General features: G+C 35.8%; 1 protein-coding gene and 1 pseudogene across 31 annotated transcripts in view; both read left to right on the forward strand.

The window, feature by feature from the left end:
- The window catches only part of FRMD6 (FERM domain containing 6), a 334297-nt gene that overhangs the window by 284127 nt on the left and 24549 nt on the right, over nucleotides 1–25621 (forward strand). For 16 of the 31 annotated variants that reach the window (XM_047430922.1, XM_047430926.1, XM_047430921.1 and 13 more), the window contains 5 exons: nucleotides 9134–9378; nucleotides 17585–17675; nucleotides 20499–20602; nucleotides 21955–22031; nucleotides 24192–24378. In XM_047430922.1, the coding sequence (XP_047286878.1) occupies nucleotides 9280–9378; nucleotides 17585–17675; nucleotides 20499–20602; nucleotides 21955–22031; nucleotides 24192–24378 (558 nt within the window). In that variant the 5' untranslated portion in view covers nucleotides 9134–9279. The remainder of the gene's footprint in view (nucleotides 1–9133; nucleotides 9379–17584; nucleotides 17676–20498; nucleotides 20603–21954; nucleotides 22032–24191; nucleotides 24379–25621) is intronic. The other 15 variants (XM_047430931.1, XM_047430932.1, XM_047430933.1 and 12 more) reach the window with 1 other exon arrangement.
- On the forward strand, nucleotides 12195–12304 carry RNA5SP385 (RNA, 5S ribosomal pseudogene 385; annotated as a pseudogene).

The raw sequence follows: 25621 nt of genomic DNA on the forward strand, positions 1-25621 counted from the left end.
ATACCAGTTGGTTTATGCTTATTCATTGACTAACAGAATACTTATGATCTTTTTCTTGCTTTTTTTTTCTCTTTGATTTAGCAGCTTTCTTTATTCCTGCTAGTCCTATTCTAAAATTATATAGTGAAAGGGTAATTTTTGGCTATAGTGGGTATTTGTGATTTAGGGGATGATGTGCTCAATAAACGTTTATTATTATTGATGTTATTTTTTTATATACTATGATTTACTAATCTGTTCCTGTCTTTTCCCTATTTAGATTTTTCTCATTTTTTACTTTGATAAATAACACTTTAGTGAGTACTTTTGTTCAGAAATGTTGAATGCTTTGTTTGAATTATTTCTTATCCATTCGCTGCAAGTGGGATTATTGGGTGAAAAGGTATGAACATCTCTATGACTCTTACTACAAAAAAAGCCAAATTGGTTGCAGTGATTTATAATGCTAACCACAGCTTATGATTCGATTTCACTAATTTTTCTCTTTATTGCAATAGAAAGTTCTTTGCTGGTCTTTTTATATTCTCCCTTTTCTATAGCTGAGTACTACCCACATAATGTTTTTCGTTAGAGTATGATGAGCATTACTTGGCACCAATGCAAGTCCACTTTAATTGGAAGGTTCTTTTTTTGTTCCTAACCCCGAGGTTAACCTCATTGGTTAAATACAGAAGTTAAATAATCTGTTAGCTGCCAACAGGAGAAAAACACCATTTATTTAGATTTCAAGATATGATAAAATAGCATAGATAGTGACCACTACATGTTTGCAAACAACAGTGCTTCCACTTGCTTTCCATGATATGAAGCCAGTTATGTTTCTTGCTAGTAAATACAGTAACACATACTGTATATCAAGCTCTGTTCAAAGTGCTTCACATATGAGTAACCCGTTTAATAAACTTCACATGAATCTCAATTCAAAGGTGAGCAAAATTGATCAAAGAAGTACAGAGACTTGCCCAAGGGTACCCAGGTGGGAAGTGTCTGAGCTTGGGTTCAAACCCAAGCTGTTTGGCTCCAGAGTCCAAGCTCTTAACAGCCTATTATGCTGCCTACTGCCATACAGTATTTCCTCTTTCAAAACTTAGCCTTTCTGTTGATTCAACAACTAGCCTGCATTTCAAGTGACATACACAGCCACTTACAATTGTATAGTATAATAATGTTACAGTCAGATTACAGTTTCTTAGCTTGCATTTGGTAATTAGCTTAATGGTTTTCCCCTTACCAAATTTATAAAATATGCTTCAAATTAAAGCTATTTTTACTAAAATTGCTATGATTACACTGTTTACTGATCAATTTTCAAATTACATATCAACCATGCTTTCCAGTTATTTTGTTTGCAGTAAAAGCATTTTTTTACAGCTACTCTAATTTGTTACAAATGTACAATACAATAAAAGCATATTCTGCGTGATTCTGTAAAACACATTGTGGTCTTTAATAAGAGGACTATTCACCCACACATTAGTATGCAAGATGAGATATTCCTTTGTTGCTGAAAATTACTGTTATTAATTGCCCAATATGCTTTGTTTGCCTTAAATGAATTTTGCATTATTTCCATAAATTATTTACTGTGTTAGTGATTTATTTTGAATTATTTTCTACTTATATATTCCCTGTAAGTGGGATTATTGGGTGAAATAATAATTTACTATTATTTTAACCCAACCACCTAAATTTTTCAGCTACTCAGATTTTATCCCCCATCTTCTTGGTCTTCTCTGCTTATGGTGAATAGTGACTATTCTCCTTTTTTTGGATTGGAGAGAAACTTTAAAACTTAGAGCAGTTTTTTGTTTTTTTTTTTAAGTAAAGTAAATATCAATGTTGGTATAGCCAGAGATAGGAAACAGTGAATTAATGAATGAATGTATCAAGCAGTCAGTCAGCTTCTTGTTTGGATTATCTGTATTAGAGAGGACTTACTCTGTTGCAAGTGGCAGAATTAACATAATTAGCTTAAGATAACTTGCTGGCTCACTATATGAGAATTTCTATGGATGGTTTCTGGCTTCAGATAGCTAGATGCAGCAGTTCAAATGATGCAATCAGGATTCTTTCTGAGCTTCTCTTTCCTCTGTGATGATGTCCTTCTCAGGAGATTTCTTACCATGTGGCATCAAAGATGATTGCCAGCAACTCCAGGCTCATATTATTTTCACAAAGAGCAATACAAAAAGAAGAGCAGCTCTCTCCTTCCCAGCGTTTATATCACAAATTTCATGGAGGAATTCTGGTTTTGCTTGGGTTACATGTTCAGCATTTAGACCAAGCACTGTGGTTGGAGAATGAACCCTGTTTGGCCAGCTGTGAGTTACATCCCTCTCCTACATCACCCCCATCAGCCAGGGTGGGGACAACACACTGTGATCAATAGCCCCACTGGAAAGATGGTGCCAGGCAGACTAAAACAGATGTCCTCTACCTTCCATTCTTTGGTCAGCCAGCACACATTTCAACCCATACACCCATACGCACTGTCTTTCAGTACATAAAATTTCAAAGGAGTAACCACTTAATATAATGCCACTTTTCCATTTACAACCAACAATACGCTTAACTTCCCTACCCAAAAGTAGACTTCTTAAAGTTTAGCTCATTTGCTACATCTGGCTCCGAGGCCTAGATCTCTGTATGAGTGTATTTTTATTAATCAGTTGTAGATATTCCTTCTCATGACCTGGCAACTCATGACTAGTTTTTATTTTTTTTATTTTTGAGACAGAGCCTTGCTCTGTTGCTCAGGCTGGAGTGCTGTGGCACAGTCATTGCTCACTGCAGCAATGACTTGAGCCCATCTCCTGGGCTCAAGTGATCCTCCTGCCTCAGCCTCCTGAGTAGCTAGGACTACAGGCATGTGCCACCATGCTCAGCTATTTTTTTTTTTTTAAACTTTTTTAGTAGAAATGGGGTCTCGCTGTGTTTCCCAGACTGGTCTCCAACTCCTAACCTCAATAAATTTTCCTGCCTCAGCCTCTCAAGGTGCTGGGATTACAGATGTGCGTCACTGTGCTTGGCTTTGACTCTTGTTTTAATGAACAATCTTTCCCACCCAAATAACCTGATAGCTAATACTTATATCCATTATCTCATTTAACCCTTCCAATAATCTTAGGCGGCCAATACTACAGATGTTACAGATGAAGAATCAGATTTAGAGGTCAGGTAACTTACCGAAGGTCACACAGCAGGTGTTGTGGAATCCAGATTAAGATCCAGATTTGACTGATTTGAGAAAGGGTTATTTAACCCTTAAATCTATCTTCTTAATCAGTAATCTGTTTGTATTGTCTCTAAACATGAGGTTAAGCCATATCAAAGGCGATCTTAGCCTTTCCACAGTGCCTCATTTATCCACCAGAGCAATGGTTGGAAGGTAGGAAAGAGACGGCAACAAAGAATCTGATGTTCTTTCCAGAGTATTTGGCTCCAGATGGTTGATAGATGTCAACTACTTTCTTTATAGGTAAAATGGTAACTGTAAAACAGGCCATGAAACAGAGTGTTCAGTTTATCTCTCACCTTAAGTGAGAAAAGTAAATCTGTGGCTCCTAAATGTTTTGTTTTGTTTTTAAATAAATAAATGACCCTTAAAAAAAAAAAAACCCTCATAGTACAGAGTATGCAAGCAAATTAAAATAGTTGTTTCCAGGTCAGATTTTATATTTTCAGGTACTGTTATCAAAATAAAGGACTCTTCAGGAACAAGCAGGTGGGGATTGTGGAAGTGTATTTATGTGAGAAGTTTGGCTGTATACTGCAGTAAATATTTAAGTTTTAAGAAGTTAAACTTCAAAGCTATTCCAAAGCCAGAGGCCACACACATTCAAGAGGTTGAAAATTGTCTTTAAAGTTCAAGCCAGATTTCTGAGTTTAGCACTCAGTTGCTAATCTTTAGCTGGAAAATATGTATTTAGTAAGAATTGTATTATTAAATAAAAAACAGCTGGATGGTAAAAAGTAGCCCATAGTGTCTCTATATGGAAACCTGTGGAGCACTAGTTCTCAACCATGGGTAATTTTGCCCCCAGAGAACATTCTGGAATGTCTGAGGGCATTTGGGATTGTTACAACTGATGGGAGAGGGGCTCCTGGCAGCTAGTGAGTAGAGGCCAGGGCTGCTGCTGAACATCCTACAATGTGCAGGACAGCCCCCCACCAAAAAGAATATTTGGCCCAAAATGTCAGTAGTGGCAAGTTTAAAAAACCCTTCAGTAGAATCTTCATGTATAGGAAGCCAAACAGCTAACATTTAATGAGCATATACTATGTGCCTGTCATTGGAGATTAAGCAAAATATGTAGCTAGTGAAGTGACCCTCCTCTGAGAAGAGCTGAGTAGAGGAGACAGACAACTGAGGAGTACTTACAAGGAGTATTGCACAAGTAGATTATCCACACAAGGAAAAACTTCTTACTGAGCATGAGTTAGTCACAGCACCAGACCAGATCCAGGGAGAGGGGAAATAGATCCCACCTCTGAATGGGAAGCATGAGAGTGAGTTTGCAGGTTTCCTTAACATACCATAAGTACCTAACAGTGCCTGGAACATGGTAAGTTTGTAGTAAATGCTAGCTATCATTAGCACTATTATTTTGCCTTTTCTGAACAGTAAGTGAGTCTTGGCAAGGAAAACTCTTGCCTGGGATAGATGGATGGATGGACAGATGGAAGGAAATTACATCTCTTTCTTCATTTAGATGTTTCCTTAAATATTGACTCATTAGAGATGCTTCCCTTGATTACCCTATATGAGATAGCATCCACACCACAACCATATCTCCATCAACTCTATCAAGTACTCTGGGCCTATTTTTCTTCATAGTACATGTCACCATCTATATCATATGCTTATTGTCTGTTTCTATTAGAGCAGGGTATTTTTGTTAGTGCTGTTAGTGTACTCAGCACATACAGCAACATTTGGCAGACAGGTGTTGAATGAAAGAATGAACAAAAACAGAACTCATTTTACTAAAGACATTTTGATATCACTTTTGGGATAGGATACTATACATTAAAGATGATACAGTTTATTCCAGAATGATCTTAGCTACAGTATTCATAGCACAGTATTTGTGTACTTAATACTGTTATCCATTATATCTTCCTTTGAGGTTGGCATGAGAGTTGCCCATCAGAGTATGTGTGCTCTTAGAAATCGGGACAATATTATCGTTTTAAGCTTCTTGGCAGTGTGATATGTCCTTAACTAGATGGTGAACTCATATAGGTGGAGGGGGAGTATCTAATGCTTTTGTATTCTGCTTTTCAGCAAATAAATATTACCGTACTGTGTGTGTAACACGAGCTGTATAAATGTGTGATGATTAAATTAGAAGATAGGATTCTCTACAATCCAGTTTTCCAAGATAAATTTTTGCCTTGTTTTTGTTAGGTGATGAAGATACCATATTGACTGTTGATACATGCCTACTTAGTCATGCTTCGCTTACAGTAATCTTAACAAATTACCAGCTTTTTACTTTTTAAGAGACAGTCCTAGAATTGAAAATCCTCCTTTGCCTACATTCAATATGAGACTATATTATGTGGGTAGGAAACTTCTGGTGACCTACTTTTAATTTTAAAATTAAAAAAATACTTACCTTAGTTTTAGATTCAGAAAACAGTTGCAAAGGTGGTATAGAGAGTTTCTGTATACCACACCGGCACCCAGTTTCCCCTGTTGCTAACATCTTACATGATTATGGTATATTTGTCACAACTAACAAATCAGTATTGATACATTATAACAAAACTGCATACTTTTAGGGGTAGTGGACCCAGTTTTAAAGCTTTTTTCCCACAATTTGTTAAAAATGACAATCAGTATTGAATGCCCATGGGTGGTGGCTTCCTGATTCTTAAAAGAAATGGAATAATTTTGTAACCATTGGGACTTATCAGGAAATAAGGAGCTTATAATAATGTGCACTTAAAGTTCCAGTGGGGGAATTGTATAGCTCAACATATTGTTTTTGTAAGTTGGATATTAATAAATAAAGAGGCTGGGTGGGGTTTGATCACTATTAAAACTGATTTTTTTTTTGTTCCCTGGAAAATATGTTACTACCACATGGTCTACCCTTCGAAGATAATAGATCCTAAGATCATTGGACAGGAAAGGGTTGCCCTGTAGTAAGAAATGTGTCCTCCTGGGACTGAGTTGAGATTTAGTTTAGGATACAAAATAAGTAGCCAATGGCTGTTGTGAGGCTGACTTCTAAAATTCAAATTGGTATAAATTTAATCTAATTCTTTTCCCCAGGACTGCCCAATTTAAGATTAAGTTTTATACTGGTGCATATTAGAGATATGGCTATTTTGCCATTTCATTGGAGCCTTTTAATCAGCTTTAATGCTGTCTTGGGTAAAGTAAAAACTTAAACTCTTTCTTTAAGGGCTTTTCTAGTTTGCCATCCTCAAAGCAGAAAAAGCAGCAATGAAGCAGTGCTGCTTCGTATCGACTCTGCTTTTATTACATTTGCTTCAATAATCCTCTTCCAGTCATCTTCTGTGCTGCATATTTGAGCCATAAAATAAGCAAAAATTGTACCCAAATGAAAATTTCAAGTTATTTTAATGAAGCTCTGGAAACATCCCACAGCTCAGAAGATATTTTTTTCTAGTTTATTTTTTAAATTCTGGAAAGTAGGTCAGTAGACATACCCTGCTTTAATTGGTTTAATTAGAAGTGAAAAATTATAGGACTAACTCAATTTGAAGTACAGATTTAAATAAGAATTACACTGGGATGAATATTACTTAAGGGTTTGAATTTAAGATGCATTTAATCAAAGCTTATAATTTCTTCTTGAAAAGATTTATATTGCAAAAAGGAAGACTAAGTGTTGGAATATATCAATATATAGGGGAAAATTTTGTCATGAAATATAATATTTGATAAAATCATTTTAGAATTGTATCTCTAAATGGTATGCCTAAGAATATTGTTCTATAGGACCTTAATAGATATGCCTTGGGGGAAAAAAGTATTGTGTGCCCAAGTAAGTTTGAGATATACTGCATTAAATATAAGAAGTTGCCTGCAACACTTCTCAGAGCCTTTAACACTTTCTGATTTCTAAGAGAGGACATATATAGGGTACAGTACTTTGCAAACCTATTTATCCCTGTACCACCTAGTAACATTTTTCAGGAAAATGTTTTGAGCACACAAATTTGACCTGTTTTAGGAATTCATACCTTTGACAATGTTGAGGACCTTTTTTTTCTATTATAAAGATGATGTGATATTCACCTATATTACTTTTTCCCAATTCTCTATCTTTAAGATATTTTTCCAATGTATTATATTCAACCCTCTGCTCAGTCCCTTCCTTCTGCTAAGTAAAGTGGTGGTTTCCATCTGTTGCTACACATCAGAAATACCTAGCTCTGACCCTGGAGATTCTGTATGAATAGAAATGCCAGAATACCTGCTCAGGATTCTGTGTTCATTACAAACACCCAGGTGATTCTGATGCAGCCAACCCTGGTCCTCCAACTGATGCTTTGGAATTGTTGAAGGAAAAGCATGCGTGTTTTTTTTTTTTCAAGATGGATGAGTAGCTTGGGGCATAGTTTGTGGTCCTAGAACACATGGGTTAACCATCCATCCTAGTGAGAACGATAGCACAGGCCTCCAATGACCCCATGAGGTGATGTACTGGCTATAACCTAACATGAGATGATTATTATTAAGAAAAGCAGAATACTTCTAAATGGGCTTTTAGCCACCTTCCTAATAATGAAGTACCGTATATATGATTACCATTTGTTTTAGTTTCGAGTAATTCCCTTGTAAATGATGTTTTATTTATTCTTTAAGAAGAATACTAGATTATATTTTCTAAATGTGCCAAGTATCTAAGAATATATTCTTTCCCCTCCTGCTGATAAGAGTTATACATTTAACCTTAAGCAAATCGGCCAAGATTCTATTTCATTTATGCTTTGATTTATGTGAGTATTAATGTATTTTCTGTGAAAATTGTATGGTTATATATACTCTCCACCTAGTAAAACAGTTCCATATTCCTGGAAATAGTCTTTTACGTCCTACAAATGTAGCTGGAAAGGAATAATATAAATACTAATGGTTTGACAGACGACTAGTCTTGACTTGTCTTGGTTGAATAGTGTTCTATTAGCAACAATATATGAAATACTAGACACACCCATTAAAAGTAGAAAATACCCACTACTGTTTTAAAATTATTCTGCAAGATCTCACTAATGCAATGAGACATAAAACAGAAATAATGGGTGTAATTATTGAAAATTGGAGATAAAATTTCTATTACTTGCAAACAAAATTCTCTATGTCAAAAACCTGATAAGTTAAACAATACAGTTAATATGTTTAATAGAACTAATTAGATATGAGAGGCATCCAAAATCCATTTTTTCTATACAAACATGGTTTGATATATACAGTCTTGTTTTATCTGTGTATTAATTGGCTTATGAAATAATAGAAAAATCAAGTATGCATTATTAGGTTAAAGAAGCAGGAGAGACAGAGCTATAAAAACTAAGAAGAATGTTGTAAGGAGGGCTTAGCAACCAGGATAAATGTTGTAGAGAGATCAATTAAAGTGATGGCCTAGAGATCATGGGCTTCCTTTGGCAGAGCCATGTTGGTGAAGTGAAGGAAGTGTAAGCCAGACCACAGTGGTTGAAGAATGAATGTAATGTAAGAGCCAAGACATTTATTTGAGTTTGATAGTTATGAAAAAGAACGAGAATTTTCTTATTGCTGTTGTTTTTGCCATTTCATGTTCAAAACCCTTTATCTCCCATGTGGGACTGAAAACTCCTCCAAGACAGGATCTCTGTTTCTGTGAGGCCTGTAGTACTTAGTACATCCTTGAATGTGTGAGGCTCTCATTGGTTATAAGTTTAATTCCTGACTGTGGATGAAAGCTTTAAAACTTTGTGGGCAAAATACAGAATGAATTTCAGTGAGTTCCCATGTATTAAATAAGGTGGTGCTGGCTGGAGATATGCTGTCCCTGTGCCCACAATAGTAGTGGTGCTGTGCTTATCTTCCTGACGCGCTCTTCGCAGTCTTCACCGCCTTTCTTCAGGAGTCTCCCCTTTGGCTTTTTCACAGCTATGAAACCCACGTAGTCGAACACCGTGATGCTTCTCCTGCAGGGCGTGTGATGAGGAGGCGAGCTTGGCTTTGGAGTGCTGGGAACCTGAGGAATTGCCAAGGACCCAGAGCCCAGCCCTGACCACCAGAGTGCCCAAAACACAATGAACAAATTGAATTTTCATAACAACAGAGTCATGCAAGACCGCCGCAGTGTGTGCATTTTCCTTCCCAACGATGAATCTCTGAACATCATCATAAATGTGAGTAGATCCAGTTTTAGAAATGTCTAAATATTGTGTTTTCACCAGTGGCCACATTCAACTTATGACTTGATTAAGGGTGAAATCTTTACAGAATTAGGGCAGTAATCATGTGGCAGAATTGGGTTGTCAAATAGTCCATACATACATTAACTTAGCTTTGTGGCTTGTGTGCAGCTGCCTTCAACATTCTCTCACCTGGGTTAGAATTAGAGGACTATGGTTACTATATTGAAAAACAAACATTTGCTATTTTTAAACTTTTGATCGAAATATAACTTTTATTGAAGTATATGAATTTATGTCTTAAATGCTTAGAGTTGTCACCCACACACATGAAATGGTAATCATCGCTATTAGGTTGGTGCAAAAGTAATTGTGGCTTTCGCCATTGAAAGTAGTATCAAAGACTACAATTACTTTTGCACCAACCTAGATAGTTTTTTTTGTTTTTTGTTTTTGCTTTTTGAGACAGAGTCTCACTCTGTCACCCAGGCTGGAGTGTAGTGGCATGATCTCAGCTCACTGCAACCTCTGCCTCCTGGGTTCAAGCGATTCTCCTGCCTCAGCCTGCCGAGTAGCTGGGATTACTGGCACGCACCACCACGCCCGGCTAATTTTTTATATTTTAGTAGCGACGGGGTTTCACCATATTGGCCAGGCTGGTCTCGAACTCCTGACCTCAGGTGATCCGCGTCAGCCTCCCATAGTGCTGGGATTACAGGCGTGAGCCACCGCGCCCAGCCTTAGATAGCTTTTTAATATGCATCTTGATTTTATCTTAAGAGTAGCCAAAATCTAGCCAATTTCCAGGACTAGGTGCCTATAGGCTGAACATTTGAGCACTAAGCTGTTGCTTATGGTTTGTGAGTCATAGTCAGCTTGCTTAGATAACCTGAACATTGAGGAATGTGATTTTTTTTTAACTTTAAAAAAATTGAGTTATAATTTACATACTGCAAAGTATAGAAACCTTATGTGTGCAGCTCAATGAATGTTTACAATTGTATACATCCATGTAACCATCACTGTTTGAGATATAAAACATTTCCAGCACCCTAGAAAGGTCCTTTGTGACCCCTCCTAGTCAATATCCTTCACCTAAAGGGTAAAAACTATTCTGATCTCTTGTCACCAAAGTTTTGCTTGTTTCTTAACTTCATGAAGCTGAAGTTATGTGATATATTCTCTTCTGGCTTCTTTTACTCAACATTTGTCCTGTGAAATTTATTCATGTGAATCCATGTGACAATAATTCTTTCTTTTACATTGTTGTGTGATATTCCATTGTACGAATACACCCAATCTATTCATCTACTGTTGATGGATAGATATTGAGTTTTGGGCTATTGTAAAACTGTTATGAACATGTTATGTGTATGCACATGTAGAAATATTTCTTGGTTTATACTGAAGAGTAATTGTGAATCATAGGTTACACTATGTTTAGCCTTGGTAGAGACTGCCAAACAATTTTATGGTAATCAGTGTCATGCCTAAGATTTTTCAACCCCTCTCTGTGTTATCAACTTTCATACTGTTTCTTTCATAGATTGTATTCTGATGGAATTAGAGGAAAAAATTGCCTTAGTGCATGACTTGAATTAGTTTCCTATATGTTACTATATTTTTATTTATTTATTTTGATTTTGATTTTTTTTTTTTTTTTTTTTTTTTGAGTCAGAGTCTTTCTCTGCTGTCCAGGCTGCAGTGCAGTGGTACAATCTTGGCTCACTGCAGTCTCTGCCTTCCAGCTTCAAGCGATTCTCCTGCCTCAGCCTCCCGAGTAGCTGGGACTACAGGTGCCTGCCACCACACCTGGCTAATTTTTGTAATTTTAGTAGAGATGGGGTTTCACCATGTTGGCCAGGCTGGTCTCAAACTCCTGACCTCACGTGATCTGTCTGCCTCAGCCTCCCAAAGTGCTAGGATTACAGGCGTGAGCCATTGTGCCTGGCTATGTTACTATATTTTTAATCCAATTGCTATATAAAAGAATATTTCTAAATATTATGCTGAAATATATGACATTTAAATAACTTCATTAAAAAGTTTAGCTAAGAAAAGTTTCTGCTTATTGCTATAGTCATTTTGGCTTTATTCTGACAATCAACCCAATTTCTTAATTTACTGCTGTATCCTCATTTTTGCTTCTAGGGATTGTCTGAGGATCCAACAGGCCTGCCTATTGGATGAACTTTGTCATCTTTTGGGCAGAATTTCCAATGATTAGCTACATTGCTGCTCAGGGTAACTGAAATTGTTTTTGGATGTGTGAAGTGGTGGGCTACTATTTTGACAGCATTTGGTTTTTTAAACTGAATAAAAATCGACAATGTGTCTCTTTTTTCAGTGGGGGCACTAGCAATATAAGTTATAATTGAATCCTACTTACATATGTGAATATTTTGTTTTACTTTTTATACAGTTATATAAAAGATATCCAATAATTTTTAAAAATATACATAATCTAGGACATATAGCATAAGCACTTAAGAAACTTCTCTCACTTTCATTTGTCTTTTTACGTGGTGCAATGTGTGTGTGTGTGTGTGTGTGTACACACACAAGCAGGTTGTGGAACAACACCTTACCACATTTAAGTGAAGGGAAGGCTAATCTGACAGTGAAGAATACTGAAAGCTGACTATAATTTTCAAATAAATTAATTTATACTAAAATCTCAGCTGAGGAAGATAGTTATAGAGAACAGACTGGAAGATAGCTAGTTCATTTGTTCCTATGGATCAGTGGTTTTGAAACTTGAATATATATCAGAATTATTTGGAGCAGCTTACTAATATTCAGATTGTGTAGTCTATGGCCATACTACCCTGAATGTTGCCTGATCTCATGTGATCTCAAAAGCTAGGCAGGGTCAGGCCTGGTTAGTACTTGGATGAGAGAAATGCCGATGTAGTGAGTCTGAGGCAGGATGCAAGCATCTGCCCTAAATAGATGCTATAGATACTCTAAAATTTGAGCGAAACAGGCAAAGATCTATGTGCCAGCACCACCTAGTTTCTTTCACTCTCTGGAATTCTGGTTACTCGATTGTGTTTCAACTTGCCCAGTACCTGGTACCTAGTGGGTACTGAATTTGTATTAGCTTCATTTCTGTCTTCCCTCTATAGAATAATCGAAGAGTAGTATGGAAGTGAAAACACATGGATATACTTAAAACACACAGACCTGAATTCAAATCTCATATCTGAATGACTTTGGGAAAGTTAATTATACCTCTTCCAGCCTCAACATCTTCACCTTTAAAATGAGAATAATACTTACGCTGCAGGGTGATTGTGAGAATTTAGGATTAACACTCAGCATAATTTCTGATGCATATATAATAGCTGCTATTATCATTTTAATCCCTAGGCAGAGATAAATTATACTTTTTCAACTCTTCTCTTTTACAGTGTTAGTATGATAATCTCTCTAACATGGTTAGGACTATGATCATGGACTGTGAGGTCATATATCACGATTAAGGTGGGTTTTGGAGTCACAGGTACCTGGGTTGAAATCCCTACTCCACAACTTTGCAATCTAGGGCAAATTTTCTAGTTGTTTTGTTTTGTTGCTTTGGTTTCCTCATTTGTGAAGTAGGGATAATCTTACCCTCTGCACAGGGACATTGCAAGGATTTAAAGATGTCACATGCATGAAGTATTCAGTGAAGTGCCTGCATATGTGAATTGCTCAGTAAGTGAACCCTTGAGTGTCAGTTTACTTTTTAGTTCCTTGAACTGTTTGTTCATTTCATTAGTGTACTCTGTTAATAAACCAAGATGAAGAGTCTGAATCCCATGTAGGCCTGCAAGATTTCTTATTTCAGGGCAGGTCTAAGGTAGGACACAAGCATGTAGACTCACTATGCCCAAACTCCTCTCCAGTAAGCGGTTGGACCAAAGAAGGGACTAGGTTACGTAGGATGGAGGCTTCCCCACTACCAGAAAAACAATTCATGGCTGCCAAGAGGCCCTCCCTTTTTACAAAGTGTTATCTTTGTGTTCAGAAAATAGCAGTCAATGTGTATAGAGTTTGAGTGTAATAAATTAACTGTAGCAAAAACGATTTTATTAACTAATTTTTTCATAATTTCTCTCTCTATAACAATGAAAGTTTGTTCCCTGACAGGTGTGGTTGATAGAATGTTGCCTTTTTGCATATGGAATAAATTTAGTGTTTTGGTCATTCTGAATTCCCTGTGAGTTGCATTAATAGAAGCTATTTTAAATGATTTTAATCATCAGGCAAATATGGAAGCTTTGGACAATTTTGGAAGTAAAACCATTGTAAATGTAGGAGCCATAAAGATTTGAGTGAAGTAATTGTGGCCACGAGCTTATATGTCTTCACTAAGATTAAGCAATTCTTTTTTTCTAGAGTATATTTTAAACATTCCTGCACAATAACAAACCATTAACATTTAGGATCACATACTATTTTAATTTAAAAGTCCATATAGAGGCTGGGTGAGGTGGCTAACACCTGTAATCCCAGCATTTTGGGTGGCTGAGGCAGGAGAATCATTTGAGGTTAGGAGATTGAGACCAGGCTGGGCAACATAGTGAGACCCCTGTCTCTACATAAAATTTAAAAATTAGCCAGGCATGGTGGCACTGCCAGTGGTCCTAGCTACTTGGAAGGCAGAGGTAGCAGGATTGCTTTAGCCTGAGAGGTTGAGGCTGCAATGAGTTGTGATCGTGCCACTGCACTCCAGGTTGGGCAACGGAGTGAGACCTTGTCTCAAGGGAAAAAAAATAGTCCATATAGAGTATATTTTTAGATAAAGCTTTAATTCTTATTCTTAATACCTCATACTATATAGCACTTTTTAACATTCCCATTGCTCCTGAAGATTAAAGAACTTGAGAAATTTTACAGTCAGCTAAAATGTAGCCTTAAAGACTCATAATATGCAAATACAGAAAACTCAAGCTTATTTTCACAGCAGGCAAGACTTCAGAGCCATGGCCTTATTTAATTATAGTTTTTGAATAAGAGCACTGCTTACTTGATATTTGTTAAAGAGCTTTACCAGTAGGCTTCAAATACTTGATTTAAACTAGCAGAACAATAATAAATGTATGGGCTGCATGGAGGAAATATATAACGTTATTTGGTCTACAGTCACACGAGCCTAAAACAGTTTATTTCCTATACATTTAGTTTGTGGTTTGGAATTTTAACTTCTTATGGCATTTTATCTTGGCTGCCTTGTACCCAACGTTTTTAAATACAGTCAAACTAAGGATTAAAGGTGCTGTAAACAACATGACATTTTAAGTCACAAATTTGTAGTATATAGTTCAACTTAAGAATTTTATGTGATAATTGATGTGTTCTCCTCTTCTTTATCATTGTTTAAGTTTATTTGTAAGGTAGAATTACGATGATAATGGAACTCAAAATCCAGAGGCCTTTTAAAGTGAGTGTTGGAAATGACATAGGACTTCTATAGGACAGAAATCTAGAATGTCAGGTGATTCAACCTAGCTGTACACAAAGAGAATGATAATGATTCCCCATTGGCAAATGTGTTCTCCAGTGGTGGTGGTGGGTGGGTTTGCATTTATACAGTTTTCCTAAAATGCTGAATGGCATATTTATAAAATGGTTTGCTCAGTAATTCAGGGAGTGGTCTTGATCTCTAGTCATGGAACAGAATGAAGGTGAGCAGGAGCCCACAGGGAATCAGATTCCTGCCTTTCATTCATCGAACATTTACTGAGTGCCTACTATAGATCCTGAATGTAAAATAAGACACTGTTCCTGCATGAGTTCCTGGTACTTCCAAGCAGCTCACTTGGTGCTACTTTGGTCTTAAATATCTTCTGCTCTTTCCAGTGGGTAAGATACTTTAGGTTGGTTGCTATTTAATAATGAATGTGGAAAAGAGCAGTAAACCCATTCTTCTTACTACAGTCGGAATTATCACCAGTTCTGAATTGTTTACTTTCAAATTTCAAGGGATCTTGGCGTGTCTTTATTTTCCTAATCTGAGTTTCATATTAAGATATGATAAAGTCATTAATTCAGAGTTAATTTTTAGAATTTATAATAACTTAAACTCATTATCATTGAAAAAAAGGATTTGAAAGCAGATAGTACTAATAAAAGGGGAGAATGCCATATGTAATGCATATAGGTAAAATGATAAACTGTCATGTTACAATATTTTAATATATATATTTAATAATTAAGGTATTTTAATACACAAATAAGCTGTGAGTTGCTGCCTTTGCCACTATTAGTGATATGACTTTAAGCTTTCTGAGTTTTATTTTCAGAAAATAAATTGACCTGGGTGGTTTCTTAAACTCTATCCAAACTCTAATAAACCTTGATGATTCTGAAGTCAACAAGATAGAATCAGCAGAATTACTGTCCTCCATAATACTACTTTAAACATTTGAGAAAGCATTATTATGAGATAATAATTATTATTTGTAATAATAATACAAATATTATTTGTATGAGTTATTATTTATAATAATAATATTGAGAAAGAAAATTGTATCTTTTAAAGACTATCAGTTAACTTTTGACTTGTCAGAATAACTTATTGCCAGAGTTCCAAATTAATATGGCTTTGTGATTGAAGTATACTAAGACTCAGAAAAGGAATCTGGTTTAGGCACTAAAAATATATTAGACAAAATAACAGTGATAAATTAAAAGCTAGGCAGGCTGGGCATGGTGTCTCATCCCTGTAATCCCAGCGCTTTGGGAGGCCAAGATGGGAGGATTGCTTGAGGTCAGGAGTTTTAAGACCAGCCCAGGCAACGTAGTGAGAGACCCTGTCTCTACAAAAAAAAAAAAAAGTCGATTGAGACTCTGTCTTTAAAAAAAAGTCTAGACCAACTCGTTGTACAGTAGATGAGTTTTTGGGGTAGACTATTAAGAGGAAAGCTTTCCTTGAAAGGATACTTGTCCTGAGTAGACGTCCCTCAAAAGAAGATACACCCATGACCAATAGGCTTATGAAAAAATGCTCGGCATCACTAAATAGCAGGGAAATGTGACATCTCACACCTGTTAGAATGGCTATTATCAAAAAGACAAAAGATAACAAGTGTTGACGAGGATGTGGAGAAAAGGGAACCCTTGTACACTGTTGCTGGGAATGTAAATTAGTACAGACATTATGGAAAGCAGTATGGGGGTTCCTCAAAATATTAAACATAGTACTACCATATGATCCTGGAACCCCATTCCTGGGTATGTACCCAAAGGAGATGAAATCATTATGTCAAAGAGACATCTGCACTCCCATGTATATTGCAGTATTATTCATAACAGTCAAGGTATGGAATCAACCTAAGTGTGCACCAGTGGATAAATGGATAAAGAAAATGTGGCACATACACACAGTGGAACACAATTCAGCCTTTAAAAAGAAGGAAATCATGTCATTTGCAATAACGGATGAACCTGGAGGATGTTAGGTTTAATGAAATAAGCCAGGCACAGAAAGACAAACCCTGCATAATCTAAAAAAGTCTGACTCAGGGAAGCAGAGAATAGAATGATGGTTACCTGAGACTGAGGAGTTAGGGGGACTGGGGAGATATTAGTAAAAAAATACAATATTTCAGTTAGGAGGAATAAGTTCAAGAGATTTATTGTACAACGTGGTGACTGTAGTTAATGATGATGTATACTTGAAAATGCTAAGAATAAATTTTAAGTGTTCTCACCACAAAAAGATACATATGTGACATAATGCATATGTTAGTCTGATTTATTCATTCCACAGTATATACATATATCAAAACATTATGTTGTATACCATAAATATATACAATTTTATTAGTCAATTAAAAAAACAAATGAATAAAAATTTTTTAAAAAAGATACTTGCCAAATAAATATTTTTAGTAATCTGAGTAGGCTATGCTGCTTACTTTCTGAAACTCATTTATCATTTATCATGCACCATGGTTTCAGAGCTTTGTCCATGTATGGTAAGATCTGTGAGTCTTGTACTTTATTACCATGTTGTAAAAACTGGTACTGTGATCATCATTACTGAAACACAACCCCAGGTTAAAGTGATTTGGATAAAGCAGCAGTTGTTTTCTACTGTCAGCTTGTCCTTTCAAGGAATATATTTACGATGCATTAAATTGCCTGATTGTGGCTCCCTGGGTGGACTTAGTTGAATTGTTATTTTACGTCGTGCCTTTTTCCCCTACAGGTTAAGATTCTGTGTCACCAGTTGCTGGTCCAGGTTTGTGACCTGCTCAGGCTAAAGGACTGCCACCTCTTTGGACTCAGTGTTATACAAAGTAAGTCTTAGAGCCCTCTCTGATGGATTTAGCCAACTATCCCTGAGGAAATGACATCTTATAGCTATAACTTAAATTGGGCCTATTGTTATAAAACTGTGATTGTCAAAATACCCATGGACTGATTTTCATTTTTAGTGTAGGTGTAGTATTTAATTTTTTAATCTCAATTTCTATGTATTTTTTACAATATTTAGGATTTTAGGCATTTATTTATTATAGTTTGAACTTAAAAATTGATTCCTCTTTGGGAATCTAGATTCTATGTGTTTGCTCTTCCATGTTTTAATGAAGCAAGCTTGATTTTTGTTTCCTTGCATTCAGGGAGCAGCTGGAATACTTAGGAAAGTAATTTAATTTGTTTTATAATTTTTGACATTAAACTGACTTCTCTTTTCAAGTTATCTTGCTATTAACTATATAGTATCACAAAGTAATTATTAATTTAATCTTATTTTTTATTTTTCTCTCGTACCCCTTCTCTTTTTTCCAGTCAGACTATATGACTTGGAAATATCGGGTCAGTTTCTTCTATATTCTTTGTGAGGAGAAGATTTTTAAGTAAAGGACTTCATATAAGCTTTCTTCTCTCATAACACCTTAGTTAGAGTTAAATTTCTGGGACTTCTCTAAAGCCATTTATTATAAGCTTTCTTCCTTCAAATGATATTTTTAAATTTCTCTAATTTAGTCTTCTATATATCTTTGCTCATTTTGTCAAGAAGAGTTTTTTTTGGTGCGGTGTATTTAATTCTAATTCTTGAATATGGTTTATTTTCTACTGCTGGAATTGGTTTAAATTTCAAGGCTTAAGATATCTTGGAAATCTGGTCAATACAATAATATGTTTACACCTGCCAAGTTGGAAAGGATATCAGTATAAAGTTGGTCAGCTGATAAACAAGGCCCCTTTCCCCCAAAATGTAGACTGTTTTCAGTTGCCTTTTTAGGAGAGGCTAAAGAGCATGGAGCAGGGAACACATCAGGACCTTGTGAATCAGCCATTTGCTCTTCAGTTTCTTCCTGTGGTAGTTAAAACAATAAAACACAGTTGCTAAGCTCCATCCTTGTGTTAGTGCATACTTCAGTCGTTCTTTCAGGGAAGAGTCTGAGAGCCATAAGAGGCTCTATAGATTCTAAGTAACTTTTAGTATTCCATGCTCAAAGTTAATTCTTCTTACAACAACTACTGCTAGATCCTTATTGTTCAACAAATAAGTCCAATAAAACCAGTTTATAGCTTCCTTAGGTTTCAAAATAATTTTTAAGATGTCCTTTTTAAAAAAGAGATAGTAGTATGGCGAAAGAACATTGAAACAGGAATTGGTTGACCTGGTTCTAATTCCGGTTGCACCCCTAACTAGCACTTGACTTCTCTCAATGTCAGTTTTTTCGCGTCAAATGGAAATTACTACTCCACCAGCTTTGCAGGATTAATGTGCTTTGAGAATTCTTAAGGTATAAAGCTCTGGTCAGATTGTAGGTGGCAGAGGTATAGTGGCAGTTTAAAAATATATATATGTACTATTATGGTGAACAGTCTTAATTCTATTCATTATGTTGCTTCTTTAGGTGGGAACTCAAGCCAAACACAAATCAGTTTCGACAGGAAGATTGTCTGGTCTTGTTTATTTCATGTTTAATCAGTGATATGAGAGATGGGAGATAGTGTTAGTTGACCTAATAACTGGATTTAAGTAGCATTCCTTTTTTTGTCTCTGGGATCTCTTTTCTAACCCTTTCATTAAAATTGGTTAACTTAATGTCGTTTATAACCAACGAGTAACTTTACCCTTCCTATTTTCTTCTGGCATTTTTCCAGTCAAGTCCCAGTATTCAGCTTGGAGTCAAAGTGTAGCAAAGTGTGCACATCTTTGGAGTAGTCAAAGAGACACACTTCCAGAACAGGTACATTTTTATGCAGAGCTTTCCGTGAAGATGTCTCCTTAGTGATAGTTAGAATAAAAGGAGTTTAAAAAAGACTTGAAACTTTGTACAGTATAGGAATGCCAAAGACTTCTTTTGTGAAATAGCTCTCTCTTTTAAAAGATTATCTTTGGGAAATATGAAAACGTTTGTTTTCTACCAGCTTCTTTTCACGTGTTTAGATCACTTTAACATAGGTTTTAGCGGTCTTATTTTCTGTTCACCTTATGAGCATCATCCCCTGGAAGGGATGTTTTGGCATCCATACTTGTTTTTCATAAAATGTTTCTTCTCTTTTCCATGAAATTGATCCCAAAGGCAGTGCGAGTAAGGGTTTATCATTTTGTCATGCTGTGTTTTGCTGTGTGTGGAACACGGACAAGAAATAGTCTTAAAGATTAGTCTTCACAAAATGTGGGTCAGACTTCTCACTTGGAAATGAGCTGATACCGTGTTTTCTAATTTCTTACATAGCAATTAAGATAGTGTTTCTGCCCTGCTTTATTATTTTGTACCTATAAGAGCAGGCTTCTTTGAGCTGAACAAAAGCATGTTTTCCTAAGACTAACACCCACAGTGTTAGAAGTTAGACTGTAAGTCATAATGACCCTAGAAACTAAGAAAAAGCAGAAGTTGGAATCTAAGATTTCTTCTAAATATTATATACTTTAATAGTATGTGTTCTGTATTGCAAAAGCAAAATAATTCACAAGTATCTCATTAATGTCTAGTTCACAGAACCTTTTGTCTTCTAGTATCTCTTTGGGTTTTCTAGTATGTGCATTCAGACTACATTCACAAGTCTTGAGGCTTTAAAAGAAACTTGTTTCTTTCTATATTTTTTTTCTTTTAAAAATCCTTTCTTTAGCATGTCGTCTCCTTTTTTTTAATGTACAGATAATGAACATGTGTATATGGAGTTGTCACAAAAGCTTTACAAATATTGTCCAAAAGAATGGAAGAAAGAGGCCAGCAAGGTACGACAATACGAAGTCACTTGGGTGAGATTACATTTATAAGCAAAATTATTTTGATTTTTTTTAAAAAATGTTTATTTTAGCTGTTATACATTAGAAGAAAACTGTAAGCAATACTTTATGTACTATACTATATTTTCTACTTTATCTACTAAGTTATATATAGTATATGTATAGTATATATATATATACACTTTAGAACTTATAATTTTCTTTTCCCATTTTCTATATATGCTGAGTATATATATAGTAGTATATATACTTAGTATATATATATAGTAATATGTATAGTAGTATATATAGAAAATGGGAAAATAAAATTATAAGTTCTAAAATGTATATATATATATACTTAGTATATATAGAAAATGGGAAAAGAAAATTATAAGTTCTAAAGTGTATATATATACTTAGTATATATAGTAGAAAATATAGTATAGTATATAAAGTATATATAGTATATATACTTAGTATATATAAAAAATGGGAAAAGAAACTTATAAGTTCTAAAGTGTCACATTAATCAAGTATTAATAGCTTATAGAAAATAATAAATAGAATCTGGATTATCTGTTAAATAATGTTGGATAATAACTTTAGTAATCTTGGAATAATGCTTTTAAATGAAAAGTATGGAAAAATTATTTGCTCTTCTTTTTTGGCTATGCTAGGTGTCAAAATTGCTGTTCTAGAAGTTATTACTAATTTTTAAATCTACTTTTACTGTACTTGCATTTGATGCTTTGTCCATTCATTGTACTGGTGCTTTATTTCACAAACATTAATTTCATTTACATGAGAGAACATTAATAGGGAATTCACCTCGTGTTTCCAGAACCTCCCTAGTAAGTCAGGAATAGTAATCCTAGATCCTCTAATTTGTATTTAAGAAGTCTTGGAGTAAACTAGAAGGCTACTTCAAAGCCAGCTGCAAAGTAAAGAACATGAATGTCTAAATAAACAAACAGCATATTAGAATTTGGTATGTGGAATGTCAGAGGAACAAGAGAACATTTGTAATAAGGAGCAAATGGTCACCACAGGGAACAGAGCTGAGCGAGGAGCTGGGTCTCAGCTAGAAATTTCCACTGGCATTTATTTTTATCTTCCCTTATGTTGTCATTGGCATTACAGTGAATGAAAATCAGATAGAAGGATGGTGCCCTGTTTCGCTTTATAACTTCCTAATTGTATATGAACCTGGTATCTATATAGGACAACTGTCTACCTACTACAAGCCCCTACTCATTATAAGTAAATAAAACCTATCAGTGATCAAAAAGTATCTTGCAAATAATTGTATTTTGGTTGCTTTTGAAACCCATTTTCAAAGTAACTAGAAATAGCTTGATTTTTGTGTGTGCTTTTGTTTCTAGGGTATCGACCAATTTGGGCCTCCTATGATCATCCACTTCCGTGTGCAGTACTATGTGGAAAATGGCAGATTGATCAGGTAAGAGGACAGGGGGTGATTCTAAACGCTTTTTTTTCCCCCATAGCACTTTTTCTAACATACCAAATAAGTTACGTGTGTTTATTCTTTGTCTTCACCTTTAGGATATAAACTCTGTAGGAGCAGCAATTTTTTTCTTTTTAATATTTTGTACGCTGGTATATCCTCAGTCCCTAAAACAGAGATACAATAGGCATTCAGTAAATATTTGTTAAATGAAAGAATGTTAGACTGTTGATAAAAATATTAACAGTATCTATTGGCCCACATTTTCTCCACTCCACGTTTTCATAACCAAATCAGTCTCCAAAAAGATACTTATTTCAAGAAGAAACTAGCACTTTTGTAAAGAGTGAGGAGGTTGATTAAAAGATTATGTTCTTTTCCAGTGGTAAGGTGGGAGTGGGTCAGAGGCAGGAACTCTCCTATAAAAGTGGATGGGTGTTTATATAATCGGTTTTCTTTTCATGTTTGGGGTCTTGTTTATATTCTTGGCAGTAGCCTTAAAACCAAGATTAAGCCCAGTGAAGCTATCCTATCAGAATCTTAGATGCAATTTGACAAGGGCAGGTAATTGATTCTTTTTCTGGAGGTGTGTGCATGAACAGTAGTAGGCTCAGGATGCAAATTCAGAATTCACCATTTCAGAAGCTCGGTCTGTATAGGAGGATTCAGTGCTAGAAAACTTTCAGAAGTGATTTCTTGGCCGATAGAAAATACTAGAAATATGAACTCTGTTTTGCTTATATATTTTTAAACTTTGAGAAGTTCCATGTGAAAGAAACAAAATACATATGGCTAGTGAGTTATATGTAAAATTAGCTCTTGATATTTTTATCAATGCCAGATGCAAATTAAAAAGTAAAAAAATTAGCCCATAAGGATTTTTTTTAAAAAAGGCTAAGACACTTTATTAGTTATCCTTAGTTTACATACAATTTTTACTTATTTTACCTGGTAAGTGTGGCATGACCTGGAAAGAAGGAATATATATATTTAACAAATAGTTAACCCCCTGGGGCTAAGTTTTAATGCATCCCTATACTTCTGCCCCTTTTTCCCAGGCATGAACCAGTCCAAACCATCTGTGGTTGGCATTATAAACAAAAGTGCTCTGAAAAGTACTCTGTCCTAAGGGGGGAAAATTTACATAAATGCTTTATTTTTAAGCTCTTTCTACTTAACCATGGTCTTAGTTTAAATAAACCCATATGTGTTTATTGTTATCTGCTAATGACATCAGCTATGAATCTCAGGTAAACATTCAACCTGAAATAATGTAGAGGCAAATGAGCTCATTAAAATATGTACACACACATTTTTACTTTGATCACAAAAGCATCCTATTTGCCAGTAAATATTTTTTGGAGCTTTTACCATGTTTTCCCCAGTCAGCATTTCTTAACGTATTTAATGATGACTGTATTTATTTCTGATCTCAAGAGATTGTAATGAGTGCTCTGTTAGTATTTCCTTTTGTGGGGAGTATAATAATTGTCGTGACATGTGCCTGTAAAAACATAACAGTAATGTAACATTCACTTCAAAAAAATCCCCAAAAAAAGATTTAAGGAAAGCATTCATTGCATTTCTTCTTGGAGAAGTTTAAAAAACGGAAAAGAAACCTTTGTTAAGCAAATTTTTTTCCAGAAGAGTATATATGCAAATACTTATAAAGGGCCTTAGAGTATTTGTAGTGTGTTCAGTTAAAAAATAATAAAAAGAACAGCAAAACACTGAAGCAGGATTGCTCCTCAGATTTTTCCTTATTTATGTCACGTGTGTAGCATCATTGTAGCAACATTAGTACAGACAACACATGTCTAGTTTCTATTCTAATACTTGTTCAGTGAAATATTTACCATTTTAGAGTGGAATGATTCAGACCTTTTTCTTCTCTGAATGAATCAAATGCTGTAAGCCTTAGGAAACGTTATTTTTATTGTCTGGATAGTCTGATTTGGGGTTCTGACCCCCTGCAACCTCAGTGAGGCAGCTATCAGATATTAGCTACAACCGCTTCCTTTTCAGTGAGGTGGGAGGGAGGAGCAGAAACAGAAGGGTTCCTGTCACCAGATGGAGAGAAGGATTTGGGTTCTGTTTACATGTCATTGGATTATTCCATCAAAATGTGAGTTCTGTTTTCTTTTATTTTTCTAGTGACAGAGCAGCAAGATACTATTATTACTGGCACCTGAGAAAACAAGTTCTTCATTCTCAGTGTGTGCTCCGAGAGGAGGCCTACTTCCTGCTGGCAGCCTTTGCCCTGCAGGCTGATCTTGGGAACTTCAAAAGGAATAAGCACTATGGAAAATACTTCGAGCCAGAGGCTTACTTCCCATCTTGGGTAAGCACTGTTTTCAAATTCGAAAGAGTGTTTTCTCTCGGGCATTTCTAGTTCGTAGTGTTGCTACTCATACTCTTTAAGAAATGGGAACACAGATGTTCTGTGGCCAAATTCTTTGTGATGCCCAGATATTTAATGCTTAAGAACGTGGTGCACATCATGTCTTCATGTACTTAGTCTGCTTATGGTGAGTGGGGTAGAGAATTGCCATCCATCCTGATAATACAGTGGAGCTTGGAATTTACCAGCCTCCTTTCAGCATTGACATGCCCTTGACCTTCTTGCCTACTCTTACCGAAGCAGTATTTTCTCCCTTTGAAGGCAGAAAAACATAACTCTTTAAAAAGTAAGATTATTCCTCGCTTTCCTTTGCTGCGAGAACAAGTATGTCAACTTCTGGCTCCGGCCTCCATGTCCTCCACTCTCGGGGAGGAACTAACCCCTTCTTTCAGCAAGAAAATGTGGGTTATTCCAACGTGAACTGTCTCAGCTGCGCTTTCTCCACTCCACCCTGTCTGTTTCTCTTCCCGTCCTTCCTCCATGTCTAGGCTGTATTTTCTGTCTCTCTTCTATATCATTAGCCCCTCCCCAAAGTAACTCTTCTTCAGTGAGAACATGCAAAACATGTTTGGTTCTCACCCACCCATCCTTGAGAAAGAAAGTGGGGAGGGAAAGAAGAGCTACTACTCTTGCCTTTCCTTCTCAGTAAAGCATCTTGAAGAGGTAGTGTGTATTTGATTTTTTCAGCTTCTTTACTTCCCACAAGTGTTCCTCAAGCCATTTCCATCTGCCTTCTTTCCCCATCAGTCCACTCATGGTGCTGCCTGTTAGGTTGCTTTATATCAATACAGTAAAGAAGTAAAAAATTAAATATGCACTACTTTTGCTTTATATTGACACCAGTTGCTTTATATTAACATATCCAGCAGACTCTTTTCACTAAATTTTGCTGCTGTACCTGACACTTAACTACTCACATCTTGGGAGATCTCATCCAAATTAATGCTTTTAACGATCACCTATGTGAAGGCAAGTCCCAAATCTGGTTTTTTCCCCTATATCCATAAGGTAGCTGTTTACCCATAGGCCGTTCAAACTCAAGATGTCCTAAATCAAATTCATTTTCTTGCCACCTCATTTCTACGTATTCCTACCTCTGAGTACGTGGGAGTCATACGGAACTCTGCCTTATCACCATTCCTTCTCCCTGTCCTGTCCCATCAACTGTAACACCTTGTAATGT

Source organism: Homo sapiens, chromosome 14, assembly GCF_000001405.40.
Source record: "Homo sapiens chromosome 14, GRCh38.p14 Primary Assembly".
Classification (NCBI taxonomy): domain Eukaryota; kingdom Metazoa; phylum Chordata; class Mammalia; order Primates; family Hominidae; genus Homo; species Homo sapiens.